The following is a 14,745-nucleotide window of genomic DNA, read 5'->3' on the forward strand; positions in this document are numbered from 1 at the left end:
CCTAATGACTGCCAGCTTGTTTTTTGTTTGTATGCAATAAGTCTATAAAGTTGATTTGGGTTGGTTGGTTGGTTTGTTTTGTTTTGTTTTGTTTTGACACAGTCTCGCTCTGTCGCTCAGGCTGGAGTGCAGTGGCACAATCTCAGCTCACTGCAGCCTCTACCTCCTGGGTTCCAGCAATTCTCCTGCCTCAGCCTCCTGGCTAGCTGGGATTACAGGTGTGCGCCACCAAGTCCCGCCTCAGCCTCCCAAGTAGCTGGGATTACAGGCATGCGCCACCACACCTAGCTAATTTTTTGTATTTTTAGTAGAGAGGAGGTTTCACCATGTTGGTCAGCCTGGTCTCGAACTGCAGACCTCAGGTGATCTGCCTGCCTCAGCCTCCCAAAGTGCTGGGATTACAGGTATGAGCCACTGCATCCAGCCAGTAAGTCTACAAAGTTGAATCTGTGCTCTAGAAATGCAAGATTGGACACCTATCATGAAAGGTAACCAATAAACCATTAATCATGCATCCAGTCAGACTATATAGTCTTGAATGTTGGGAAAGTGTTACTGTTTTATCAGTGGACACAAATGTCAGTTTTAAATGCAGTATTTGTGAATAGCTTGGCAGACTTTATTTTCTAAATAATTCATTCTATGACTTTACTTTTTATTAGCAAATAAAAAGAAACATTGGTGGAAAACACGCCCGGCTTTACCAAACTCTGAACGAAGGCAAACAGTTGGTGGCGTCTGTGAGCTGTCCTGAATTAGAGGGCCAGATCGCAAAACTGGAAGAGCAGTGGTTGTCCCTGAACAAGAAAATTGACCATGAGCTCCACAGGCTGCAAGCTCTTCTCAAGCATCTGCTCAGGTCAGCCTTTTTGGGGGTGGATTGGCTTCATATTGTGCTGTGAAGAAAGACCTCGGGGATTCTGTAGTCAACTAAATTTTACCTGCAACCCACCTTATGCTGTTTTTTCTTGGGCAGTCTAAAGCAGTTGGGTCCCTCTTCTGGGCTAAACGCGATGTAGAATCTCTGATGGTTTGCTAGACACAGTATAACATGTAATCAGTTTGCTGTGATCGTTTTTTCTTTTCTTTTCTTTTCTTTTCTTTTTTGTTTTTAAGGAGGCAAGGTCTTGCACTGTCACCCAGGCTGGAGTGCATGGAGTGCAGCAGCACTATCATAGCTCACTGCAACCTTGAACTCCTGGACTCAAGCGATCCTCCTGCCTCAGCCTCCCAAGTTGGTGTGACTACAGGCATAGGCCACCGTGCATGGCTAATTTTATAAAATTTTTTGTAGAGATGGGGTCTCACATTGTTGCCCAGGGTGGTCTCAAGCTCCTAGCCTCAAGCAGTCCTCCTGCCTCAGCTTCCCAAAGTGCTGGGATTACAGGTGTAAGCCACTGCACCCAGCTAGTTTACACATTTCTATAGAAGCTAGGAATTATGTTATAAAATAATATATAGGTTACCTTTATACCATGATATTGCTCTTTCCAAAAGTTTTAAAATTAAAAAAATTAAATGATTTTAGCTAACAGAATAGTTTGAAATAGGCTTTTGAGTTCTTTGGAGAATTTGTTGTGCTTAGTTGGTATAATCTTGAACCGTGTGAGGAAGGAGGAGAACATAGAACATTTAAACATCATTCTCATCCCTGCATCTTAATCTAAGGCAGTTTAAAAGTTACAAGAAGGGCAGAATATTGTTTGAATATTTTCACTACCTCGGGCAAATACGTTGGGTGTTCAGCCAGCAGCAGTTTGTTGTTATACAGCTTATACAAATGCTGGTTGTGTGTGTGTGTGTGTGTGTGTGTGTATGTATGGTGTGTGTGTGTGTGTGTGTGTGTGTGTGTGTGTATGTAATTTTATTTATTTTTTGAGACAGGGTCTCACTGTGTCACCCAGGCTGGAGTGCAGTGGCGTGATCGTGGCTCACTGCAGCCTTGACCTCCTGGGCTCAAGTAATCTTCCCACCTCAGCCTCCCAAGTACCTGGAACCACAGCACATGCCACCACGCCCTGCTAATTTTTGTATTTTTTGTAGAAATGGGGTTTTTCCATGTTGCCCAGGCTGGTCTCAAATTCCTGGGCTCAAGCCATCCTCCCACCTTGTTACCCCAAAGTGCTGGGATTACAGAAGTGAGCCACTGTGCCTGACCTATATTTTTAATATAAACAAATTTATAGAAGACATTTGATGGATAAAAATCTCTGTTCCTTCATTGGGTATACTTTTGTGTAGCTGTAATAAGAAATAAAGAATGCTTTAGACTTCCTCATTATTATTATTATTTTTTTTTTTATTTGAGACAGAGTCTTGCTCTGTCGCCCAGGCTGGAGTACAGTGGCGCAATCTCGGCTCACTGCAACCTCCACCTCTTGGGTTCAGGCGATTCTCCTGCCTCAGCCTCCTGAGTAGCTGGGACTACAGGCGCCTGCCACCATGCCTGGGTATTTTCTGTATTTTTTAGTAGAGACAGGGTTTTACCATGTTTTTCAGGCTGGTCTCGAACTCCTGACCTCAGGCAATCCACCTTTTTCGGCCTCCCAAAGTGCTGGGATTACAGGCATGAGCCACCACATCTGGCCTAAAATCCTCACTGTTCTTGCTGAGCTGTAATGAAGAGAGTCCTAGAAAATGCCAGGAGCATCATGGTATAAAACATGATATAATCCTTATTAACGTCATGATATTCTGAATGTTAGGACTGATCAACATAGGAGGACATACAATAAAATAAGAAAATTTGCTGGTGATGCATATCATTATCAGAATATGTTTCTAATCTGCCTTCTCTCTCACTTTGCTCCTGTTAGTTATAACAGAGATTCGGATCAGTTAACCAAGTGGTTGGAATCTTCCCAGCATACTCTGAATTACTGGAAAGAACAGTCCCTCAATGTGTCTCAGGACTTGGATACAATCAGAAGCAACATCAACAATTTTTTTGTAAGTTGTAATAGCATATGTTCAGTTAATTACTGGTCAGAAATAAATATCAAGGAAAAAGCATCAGGGTTGATGTGATAGTCTTCGTATTTATTTGTGGATAAGGGGTAAGACTTGGGCGAATGGCAGCTGTGTTCTTCAAACCTAGAACTGTTTATACTGTTCATTCGTTTATAATAAAATATGTTTTTAATTGACCCCATAAAATATATCTGAATTTAAAACTTGCGCCAGGTGCAGTGGCTCACGCCTGTAATCCCAGCACTTTGGGAGGCTGAGGCAGTGGATCAGCTGAGATCGGGATTTCGATACCAGCCTGACAAACATGGAGAAACCCTGTCTCTACTAAAAATACAGAATTAGCCGAGCATGGTGGTGCATGCCTGTAATCCCAGCTCCTCGGGAGGCTGAGGCAGGAGAATCACTTGAACCGCGGTGGGTGGAGGTTGCAATGAGCTGAGATGGCGCCATTGCACTCCAGCCTGGGCATCAAGAGTGAAACTCAGTCTCAAAAAACTTGCACTGACATAGGTCATGTTTTACAAATACAAAAAATACAAGACCCAAAAACAACTTTATAAGGTTATTAACTTATAAATGTTAACATTAATAAATGCATAGTTTTAAATTATTGTAAACAAAATTGATATTTCTACTAAAAAGCTTTTGTTCCATTGTTTTGAGGTGTTTTTTGGAAAAAAATTCAAAAATATCCCCCAAATTTTGGGGGAAATAAAAATGTATTACTCTTGTAATATAATTACAAAATGATTATTGGTCAATGCATTTATGAAACGTAGTCTTTTCTGTTAGACTTTTCCTGTTTTTTTTTTATTTTTCATACTTCGTAGCTATGATTACTAACTTTGCTATTAAAATGTAAATTTTTTCAACATACTTGAAAGAATTTCTACATAGGAAAGATTTAAACATTTTAATTACAAACTTGTTGCAAGTAATTCATTTAATGTGCACTTTGTGTTGGGTTCCATAGTTTATTGTAAAACTTACCCCATTTAAATAATGACTTATTTTTAAAAATGTTAACCCACTGGGTGATAAGCTTCTTGAGGGGTATGCATTCCATCTCTTTTGTTCCCCATCGTGTATGTAATGCCCAACAGTAGGAAAAAGGGGTGTGTGTGTGTGTGTGTATACACATTCGTATATTTACTATGTTTATTTGTTGACTCTAGCCAGTTATTCCGACTCTTACTTTCTGCTATATTTAAATTTTAAGTTTCTAAATTTTAAAACTCTCCTTTAGGAGTTTTCAAAAGAAGTTGATGAAAAATCCTCCTTGAAGACTGCCGTTATCAGTATCGGGAACCAGCTTCTTCACCTGAAAGAAACTGATACAGCTACACTGAGAGCTTCTTTAGCACAGTTTGAACAAAAATGGACAATGCTCATAACTCAACTTCCAGATATTCAAGAAAAACTTCACCAGGTAAGTCTTTAGAGCCTCAGCATTTGAATTAGCATTCACTTGTTAGCTCATAACTCTTTTAAAATTATTTCTCTGACTCAATAATTTTCATTGACACTACCTATTTTTCTCTGGCACCACTGAATATAAGTCTTAATTACTGGACCCTCCTCCAATGGGATTTTTCTTAAGAGAGAAATCAGGCTTAATTACTTTATTTCTCAGTTTATCTTTGCCACTGTGTTAGTTTATGTGAAGGTCATTGTCATTGTTTTGGGGTCGCTTATTCTAAGTTTGAATGCTGGGTTTGTTTTTTTTTTGAGTAACCTGCATAATTATATAGCAAGACCTTTTATCAAACCAGATATCATCTTTAGTGATGCTCTGATTCATTTTGTTAACTGCAGGCAATTAAATGGAAATCATTTTGTTCTTACAGCTTCAAATGGAGAAATTGCCGTCTCGTAAAGCAATCACAGAAATGATTAGCTGGATGAACAATGTGGAGCATCAAACTTCAGATGAAGACTCCGTGCATTCACCAAGTTCTGCATCTCAAGTTAAACATCTTCTTCAGAAGCACAAGGTAATTATGCAAAAGGAGCAGAAGTCTTTTCATTGAAACAAGAAGGCTAATCAGAGGGGTAATGCTGGACAAAGGGACACATAGGATATAATTTCAAAAAACTAATTCTAGGGGTAGGAAACTGGGGTGGTGGATGATTCTGGAGAGATGTTAGTAGACTTGCTTTTGTTCCACTTAAATTCCTTTTGCCAGCCCCCATCACCACAGGACAATCCAAGCAAGCTTTTAACAGACTGTGGTCTCACCTTTTTATCCCCATCCCACCACCCCCAATAACCACAGACTCTGCCTGACAGAGTGATTTTGATTCCTTAACTGTTCTTGGTGCTCTCCCTTATCATCCTGTGTACATGCTGCACCCTCTACCTGGAATGCCAGGGCCCACGTTTAACTGTATACGTCCTCTTAGTCATCTTCCATAGTCAGCTCGAGTTGTCCTTGTTTGCAAATCCACCCCTGACTCTCCCAGCCAGACTAGGTGACTTTCCTGGATTAGATGTCTCCATGATGCTATTAGTAGCTCCTATCATGCATTATTATAATTATTGGTTTATTTGCCTGTCTCCCCACCTTGACTGAGCTTCTCGAGACCAGGGGCCATCCTTCACCTTGCTAAAATATAGCACGCCTATCCCAATACCTGCCTTCCTCTAACAGGTGTTAATGAAATGTTCTTTGAGTAAGAGAATGAGTAAGAAAATATTGAGATCCTTCTACAAATAGATATAAATGTGGCCTTCTCTGTGATATTTAATTTCAAGTAGATTTAATTAACATTTCATGAGCCACATGCAAACGTGTATTGTGTGCTCAGCACTATGCTGGCCACTGGGAATACAAAGATGAGTGACAAGTGTGGTCATTGCTTTAAGACCATGCAGGCTGATGGAACTAGCTTCTGGTAGGCAGAAGATGAATGGCTTAATCACCAAGCAAGATATTAGCAGAGAATTTTGTTTTTATGTACCATCACATCCTAACTTCAGTGTGTAGTAAAATCTTCGAAAAGTCTACACGTGTATATTCTCACAGGCTCTAGCAACCTAGCACATACCACATGACTGTCACCCCCGGGTGTCTCCAAAAGAGGTGCTAGAACTTGCAGAGATAAAATCAGTAAGTGACAGGTTTGGCAGAAATGTTGTTGGCCCTGGGTGGGTTTAGGATTGCTGTACAACTTAAAGCCACCCAAACTTTCTAAAGCCACCTGAGAGGCCTTAACTATCCCCGAAGGAACAGGGAAGCTGCCTAAATGACAGAGTTCCTTAAGGTGTCCTGGGTTTTCTGAAAGAGACTTTACTTCCTATTTCCCATCTGGTTGTTTCCGTGAGCCCTCAGGATGGCCCAGAATTCCAGCACAGCTGACAGGCAGCCTCCCCCAGGAAGCTTTGTCATATCCTGGGTCGTGGTCAGGGTTCAGATGATAGCAACTGCCATACATAGTGCCCCTTTGACTTTTCAGCCTATTTGAAAGCAGTGCATCTCTGTGTAATTCCCCAAAAGAATCCCTACTCCAATAAAGCCAACTCCTGGTGTAGGTTGGGGAGGGTAGAACAGAACTCCTGACAGGTGCCCCTTGATTAATGGACGGGAGCTTGGTGCCCCCTCGAGCACATAAAGGGAAATCCATTTGATCTGACCAACATTCATGACTGCTTTGGTGTTTAACTTTGCTTATTTTAGGAGTTTAGAATGGAAATGGACTATAAACAGTGGATAGTTGACTTCGTTAACCAGTCATTACTTCAGCTAAGCACCTGTGATGTAGAAAGCAAGCGCTATGAAAGAACGGAGTTTGCAGAGCACCTGGGGGAGATGAACCGCCAGTGGCACCGTGTACATGGAATGCTGAATAGAAAGGTGTGTTCCTGCGTCACAACTGGATGTGTGGTTTGACCTTTATGAAACACACTTTCTGAAAAATCAAAAAAGACGTTCAATTAGTTGACTGATTATTAAGCCTAATAATCATCTCAACTATAGCCCTTTTATAAATCCTATGTTTTAGCATTCTCCATTGGTACCTATAAGAGAATATAAAAATAGTTCTTATATTTGAGATTTCTTAGTGGGAAATTGAGCTAGGCAAGTGAAGATGAGGAATTTTATTTAGGAACATGTCAAGTATTATGTCAGACTCCTAAATGATCAGAGATTTTACATTTTCTATGAAAGCAGATGTTCAAAAGGGGCAAAGCTATTTCAGCTTTGAAAAGGTTATAAAAAGAAAGAAAAATGCACTTGGCTTTTTGGTAGATTTTTCACTCCATGACTCTTGAAAAGATTCGGAAAACTTATTCCTGAAAAAATACTTTACATATAATCATGATGATAATTGGTGTGTTTACTGTGTAGAGAATGCATACAAATGGATTTACACAATTAAGATACAAGTACATGAATGGACAAAGGACATGAACAGACAATTCACAAAAGAGGAAATTATAGTTAGCAAATAAACATGGAAAGATATCATTAGCAGATACTCAAAATAAACACTGTGTAACATAATGCACTTAATTAGAAAAAAAATTAATCAGATAAGGACAAAAACCCAAAGCTGTCACGTTCATACATTGCTGATAATGGCTTAAGTACTTTCTTGGAAAGCATTTGGAAAATGTAAAGAACCGTAATAATAATCTTATCACTTAACCAAGCAAGTCACCTCTTACACATTTAAGTAGATAGTCCTTCAAAAAAGTAAATGATGTGCACAGAGTGTTCAATTCAGCATCGTTTACAGCTGTGAAAATGTACCATGCCTTAATTCTCACTCTAGGGGAATAGTTCATCGAATTATACTGTATTAATTTGATGAAACATTGGGGCAGCTTTTTTTTTTTTTTTTTTTTTGAGACAGAGTCTCGCCCTGTTGCCCAGGCTGGAGTGCAGTGGCGCGATCTCGGCTCACTGCAACTTCCACCTCCCAGATTCATGCAATTCTCCTGCCTCAGCCTCCCAAATAGCTGATATTACACATGCCTGCCGCCACGCCTAGCTAATTTTTGTATTTTTAGTAGAGTCAGGGTTTCACCATGTTGGTCAGGATGGTCTCGAACTCCTGACCTCCAGTGATACACCCACCTCTGCCTCCCAAAATGCTGGGATTACAGGTAAGAGCCACCACGCCTGGCCGGGCAGCCTTTTAAAATTATGTCATGACAGGCTGGGCGTGGTGGCTTATGCCTGTAATCCCAGCACTTTGGGAGGCCGAGGCGGGCAGATCACAAGGTCAGGTGTTTTCTTGACCTACTAAAAATACAGAAATTAGCTGGGCATGGCGGCACGTGCCTGTAATCCCTGCTACTAGGGAGGCTGAGGCAGGAGGATTGCTTGAACCCGGGAGGTGGAGGTTGCAGTGAGCCGAGATTGCACCATTGCACTCCAGCCTGGGTGACAGAGCGAGACTCCGTCTCAAAAAAAAAAAAAAAAAAATTATGTCATGACACAGTAGTTATAATGTATGTAAAAAAGAATATAAAAATGTGTGTATATTATGATTATGACCTAATAAAAAATTTATTATGAATGAGAATCACAGACATTAAAGACAATGATTATTTTATTGAATTGATAAATTATTTTTTATTGATATTGGTAGAAATTTTAAGCAACTCTAATGCAGAAAGTCTGAGGAAAGAAATTTTTCTTATACTTTACATATATTAATAGATGACACAATGAAAAAATATCGAATGTTGGGAACATTTTATTTTGTATACATCTGAAACTCCACAACAGCTACCTTTCTCAGCAGATTAGCTTTCACCTTAAATATGATATTTTTTTCCTAAGAGGAGCTTTAACTCTGTTTTCTGATTTTTGAATCTTTATTCAAAAGTTATCAGAGCATCTTATTACATGAAATATTAGAAATTTGAAAAGAAGCAAAATTGTTTTTTAAAAAATAACGTCATGGCATTTACCTTTTAAAACATACATTTTAACATTTTTTGTAATCTTTACATTCACTTAGATACAACATTTAGAACAACTTCTAGAAAGTATCACTGAGAGTGAAAATAAAATACAGATCTTGAACAACTGGCTGGAAGCACAAGAAGAGAGACTGAAAACTTTACAAAAACCTGAAAGTGTGATCTCAGTGCAGAAGCTGCTCCTGGACTGTCAGGTGAGGAGGGGAACAGCATCCCACCCAACCCGCGAGCTGGGGTGATTCGGTCACCTCTCTTGCCCCGAGGATAAGTTGCTGTAGTTTGTGGAAACTCTCTTCCAGCTCCCCTCTATTTACTTATTTTCTTATGTCAATTAGATAATGACCCATGGGTTTTACAAAATTGCAAAGTGCCGTTTTTTATGATAAACAGAAGAATGTACTTTCACCGTTACAGTATTGCTGCTCTTAAGAGGTTTGAGTAGTACTCTTGGGGAAAAATGTTCAAAGGGAATTTTGATTTAAATGCTTTCCAATTTTCCATTTGTTTAATCATTTTGCCTAATGTTACAAAATTACTCTAAAGGTTTCATTATTTTTAGCATTTCATTCTGTGTTTTTTCGAGGAAAATGATTTTCTTCTACCTATTGTGTATTATGCTTTAAAAAGTTCACTTGTCCCTTGGAACCTCTGCTGAATCACATTTGGGCTTGAGGGTGTTGTCCGTGGTTCAGCTATGCTTTGCCGCATCACTCAGTCTTTGCACACTGATCCTGCTTTAGCACTGCCCTTGTGGCTGCTGCCCATTCAGAGGACCTCTGCCATCGCCATCACGGCAGGCGGCACACGCTGTGCTGTTTCTGCACTTCCTGCGTGACGGCCTTACAATAGTCACTGTCAGGACTGGAAAGTCTGGCCGGACCCCATTTCTACTGAGGAGGTCACGGGATAGCACTGGACATAAATGTGAGCAGCAGCACCACCGTAAGCGGCCCTTTTCACCTGCTCGTATACTGTTCCCACCTCCCAATGAGCCATCTCCACTTTAGCCTTCTGACAGCCACCTTGGAGTCATGTGCTTCCTTACTGGAAGCCTACATTCCGCAGCCTGGTGCTGGCCTGTCCCCTAGTAGGTGGTTCTTTCCAGAGCCCAGGAGGTGTTTTCATGCGTGTCGCTACATACAGTTTCTCATTAGGTGCTCTTGACTTACTCCTTACTGTCTGGCCAGTCTGTCTCGGTCAGGCCGGCTTCCTTCAGACCACCCTCAGTGCAGGCCTGTCTCATGCAGCTGCTTCCAGCCCACTTGCCAGCCTCCTCCCTCATTTCCTTCTGATTCATTCTCCACATTGCTGCAGAGGGATATTTCTGAAATGCAAAGGGTCACAACACTCTCCACTGGAAAATCCTCCAGTGGCTCCAGATGGACCACAGAATGAAGTTCACATGTTTTAGAATGACATTCTGGTCCCTCACCTACAAAGAGTTGCAAATAGACCTAAGTCAAGTGAGTCTTACACAGTTGTTTCTCTTTTTGATAGATAATGGTAGCCACGGAACAAGGTCGAAATGGATTAAGTTTAGCTATTCTTCCCACAACCTCACTACCAAGCTGTAAATAAAATAAATTCCAGACACAATGCCACCATCTGTAGAAACATAGATTAGCAAGCAAGCACTAAAAATAGTTTATATAACTAAGTTCAGCAAAGCCTCTCTGCCCTCTTTAGCACACCAACCACCGCTTTGCATGAAAGGCAGACATAGTAATATTCCAGAAGCAAGAGTCCATTATTTCTATGGCCAACATTAGGCAACCAGAATCCTTGGAGTTTAAACTGGATACAAAAACCACATAAGGACTTACCTTAGGGATTATTGCACTAGTTGAAGGCAACAGGCTATGCCCAGTTCTTATAGCCGTTCAAGTAGGGGTGGAAATTATATCTACGGTAGTTTAGCCAATCCATGGATCTTGAGTACATGAAATTTACTAGTGAGAACCCATTTCTAATACTCATTATGTTATTTAATAAGCCATTAAGGCCGGGCGCAGTGGCTCATGTGTATAATCCCAGCACTTTGGGAGGCTGAGGTGGGAGAATTGCTTGAGTCCAGGAGCTCGAGACCAGCCTGAGCAAGACGGTGAGACCCCGTCTCTACAAAAAACTATTTAAAAATTAGCCGGGCATGGTGGTGCATGCCTGTAGTCCCAGCTACTCAAGAGGCTAAGGGAAGAATATCCTTTGAGCCCAGGAATTCAAGGTGACAGTAAACTATGATCATGCCACTGTAGTTCAGCCTGGGTGACAAAGCAAGACCCCATCTCTAATAACAATAATAATCCATTAATTTTACCAATAGAAAACCATTTCTCACATTTGCTCTGCTCATTAGAAAAATGACTAGTGTTGACTGAGACAAGGGGCTTTAAAAGAAATTTACAGACATGCCTGGCCGGCATCATCCCTCGTCAGTCCCCATTTGCCTCTGTGCCATTACATTTGCAGCTGATTGCAGAATTATTTCTACTTCCCTCCCCTCGCCCCCACCATCCACACACAGGTTCTCCTCTATGTTTGTCAGAACTCAATCAAAGCACCCTGACCCCCTCCCTCACCACGTGCCCACTGACTGTGCCTTCCTACCTACTCCCACATTTCCATTAGCTCATTTCTTCCTATTTTAATTTTTTATGCTGCTGCTTGGATGCCTCTTTGTAAAAGGCCATAAACAAGGCCAAGATGGAAGCAAATAAATAAAACAGGCTTCCCTAGCACCCCATGTAGCATCATGTGTCAGAGACTGTACTGGGCTCATCTGTCCACGGGTCTGTCGTCTACCAGATTGTGGGATTCTCAAGGCAGGCTGGCACATCAGCATGCCTGTTATACCTGTCACTGCCTGTGAAATTCATAGGTGCTTAATAGTTGCCTGAATATATCTATTAATAGACCTAAAAGGCTGCTTTTCTATAAATGTTAATTTCTCTTTTTTTTTTTTTTTTTCCACTATTCTTTGCATACAAGAACTAAAATGAGGCCAGGTGCAGTTGCTCACACCTGTAATCCCAGAAATTTGGGAGGCTAAGGCAGAAGGATCACTTGAGGCCAGGAGTTCAAAACCAGCCAGGGCAACATAAGACCCAGTCTCTACCAAAAAAAAAAAAGTTATCTGGGCATAGTGTTGCACACCTGTAATCCTAGCTACTCGGGAGCTGAGGCAGGAGGATCACTTGAGCCAGGAGTTCAAGGTTCAAGCAGTAAGCCATGATCATGCCACTGCACTCCATCCTGGATAAGACCCCATCTCTAAAAAAACAAAACAGAAAGAAAAAAAGAAAAGAAAATGATGAAAATGATTGATGTATACTTTAATGACTTATCCCAGGGCAGAATGCTTCAGTTCAGGTAAGCTTGCTAAAGTGGCTTTACTCTAGAAAAGTTAAGGACTGGAGTTGATGAAGCATGAAGACATTAGGATTGAAATATTCCGAAGGGCTTCTAAAAGCCATTGATGACTGGAAAAAGGCCACGTTTGACATATTATAATTATCAAGGAAAATTGTATAGTTGAATAGAGTGGGGAGGTTTGAGATGAGATTATTAATCCCTCAAGTTTGATGCCTCTATACTATAAGCAAGCACAGCTTCTTAAAGAAGTATGTTCGTGATAAAGTCAGAGGAATTTAGATATTTTAAAAATATTTAATGCTGGTTCTCACAGAATGGAAAAATAGGACTTGCAAATTCTACTGAATCTCCATAATTAGCAAAAGATTATTTTTAATTCCACCCTGATTTATGTGTAGCAAATTGGAAGTTAAAGTAAGACAAATTAATTTGCCGGTGAAGTGGGAGTTGGGAAACTTGAAGGGTACTGTTAGGCCTCAGTGAAGCAAGGTCAGATGACAGGACTACTGGGCTAAATCCGTATTATTCTGCAGAGCAAAAGAAACGAGCAACCCCACCGTGTGTGGTTGTTCGTGTGCTGCTATTGCCATGGCTTTTTTTTTTCTTTTCTTTTTTTTTTTTTTTTTTTTTTGATACAGGGTCTCACTCTGTCACCCAGGCTGGAGTGCAGTGTTGCAATCATAACTCACTTCAGCCTTGAGCTCCTAGGCTTAAGAGATCCTCCCACTCTGGGCGCGGTGGCTCAAAATTAGCTGGGCATGGTGGCACATGCCTGTAGCCTCAGCTACTTGGGAGACTGAGGCAGGAAAATGACTTGAATCCCGGAGGCGGAGTTTTCAGTGAGCCGAGATCATGCCTACTGCAGCATGGGTGACAGAGCAAGATTCTCTCTCAAAAAAAAAAAAAAAAAAAAAAAAAAAAAAGGATCCTCCCGCCTCAGCCTCTCAAGTAGCTGGGACTGTAGGCGTGTGCCACCACACCCAGCTAACTTTTGTATTTTTTTGTAACGGCAGAGTTTTGTCATGTTTCCCAGGCTGGTGTCAAACTCCTGGGCTCAAGTGATCCACCTGCCTTGGCCTCCCAAAGTGCTGGGATTACAGGCGTGAGCCACTGTGCCCGGCATGGCTGTTGTTTATGCTGCCATTTTTGAAGGGTGTGTGTGTGTGTGTGTGTTGTTACTTCCTTTTGTCTGCTTTGTAGTCATTTCTTACCAGTTTTCTTTACATTATAGGGGAATTATGACAGCTTATTAGTAAATAAGTGTTTTTAGAAATCTAGTTAGTCAAGCCTTTAGGAGAGACTGTTTTATAAATTCAAAGAAGGAAAGTGATTTAATATTAAAGTGTTTTCATTTATAACTTTGCAGATGAAAAAAGTTAAACCTATGATAAAAGAAACATGCTAATAAATAAGGCTGTCAGGGTGTGAGGGAGCGAGTTAGGGTGGCAGAGATGGACAGAGGTAGCAGCTGACTAAATCTCATTGGCAAAGGCTATTTCAGAGAAGTCGTTTTGTTTCCTGGGTGCCTTTGTAACCAGTCCAGAAGAATAATATTTCATAAATTCACCCACATGTTAGTATGGGTGGATTGTTACGACAGTGAGAGGTTTTCTGTTCATACGCTATATATTCATGTGGCTCTAAATTCTAAAAGCATAGAGGGTCATACAGTGGAAGATTCCTCCAGCTCCATTCTCTCATCATCCGTTCTTACTCCCAAACCTAGCTATCAGTTTCTTATGGAACAGATTTTTTTCCCTTTTTCTACTTTCCAGTCCAGAAGACCCCTGACATTCATTGGTTTAGAGTTTGTGATTTCCACCTTCCAAGAGTGACCTGAGGGCTCCTCACGTGGTAATCTGGCAGTTTTGCGGGACTGGATTTCAGTGCTCCTCTGTGAGGCTAGCACAAGGGAGCTTGTCCCTCCCAGGGTACAAGCCACCTGCTCAGCTACCCCATGCCCACGAGGCACTCATGTTTCTCTTTCCTTATGGACCATGCAGTGATTCTTACAAAGGATTTAAAAAAAAAAAAAAAAAAAAAAAAAAGCTGGGATCCTTAGGCAAAGCAATTTTCAAAAAAAAAGCTGGGATCCTTAGGCAAAGCAATTTTCAAAAAAAAAAAAAAAAGGCTGGGATCCTTAGGCAAAGCAATTTTCAAAAAATAAAAATAAAAAAAGCTGGGATCCTTATGCAAAGCAATTTTCAAGAGAGAAATAGAACATGAGCTAAGGGTCGTTATCTTGAGGCCATGCATTCAGAACACATGCATCTGGATGGGAATGTAATGCTAAAGAAAGTATGCAGAAGCGCGTCCCAAATTTGTGAATTGGGAGACTTGAGGGGAATTCAAAATGAATCCCTCTGAATGCCAAAGATCTCTTGTGTTTTCCAGTTTCTTTGTAATGAGCATGTAATGCTTTAATAATTTTTAAAAAGTTTAAACTTTTTCCAAGTTGGATTTCAACTGCA

General features: G+C 40.8%; 1 protein-coding gene across 28 annotated transcripts in view; it reads left to right on the forward strand.

Moving 5' to 3' along the window:
• SYNE2 (spectrin repeat containing nuclear envelope protein 2) overlaps window positions 1-14,745 on the forward strand; it is a 464,854-nt gene that overhangs the window by 375,529 nt on the left and 74,580 nt on the right. For all 28 annotated transcript variants that reach the window (XM_047431152.1, XM_011536576.3, XM_047431149.1 and 25 more), the window contains 6 exons: window positions 663-859; window positions 2,817-2,949; window positions 4,217-4,399; window positions 4,818-4,964; window positions 6,648-6,824; window positions 8,944-9,099. In XM_047431152.1, coding sequence (XP_047287108.1) covers window positions 663-859; window positions 2,817-2,949; window positions 4,217-4,399; window positions 4,818-4,964; window positions 6,648-6,824; window positions 8,944-9,099 — 993 coding nt within the window. The remainder of the gene's footprint in view (window positions 1-662; window positions 860-2,816; window positions 2,950-4,216; window positions 4,400-4,817; window positions 4,965-6,647; window positions 6,825-8,943; window positions 9,100-14,745) is intronic.

This window comes from Homo sapiens, chromosome 14, assembly GCF_000001405.40.
Source record: "Homo sapiens chromosome 14, GRCh38.p14 Primary Assembly".
NCBI lineage: Eukaryota > Metazoa > Chordata > Mammalia > Primates > Hominidae > Homo > Homo sapiens.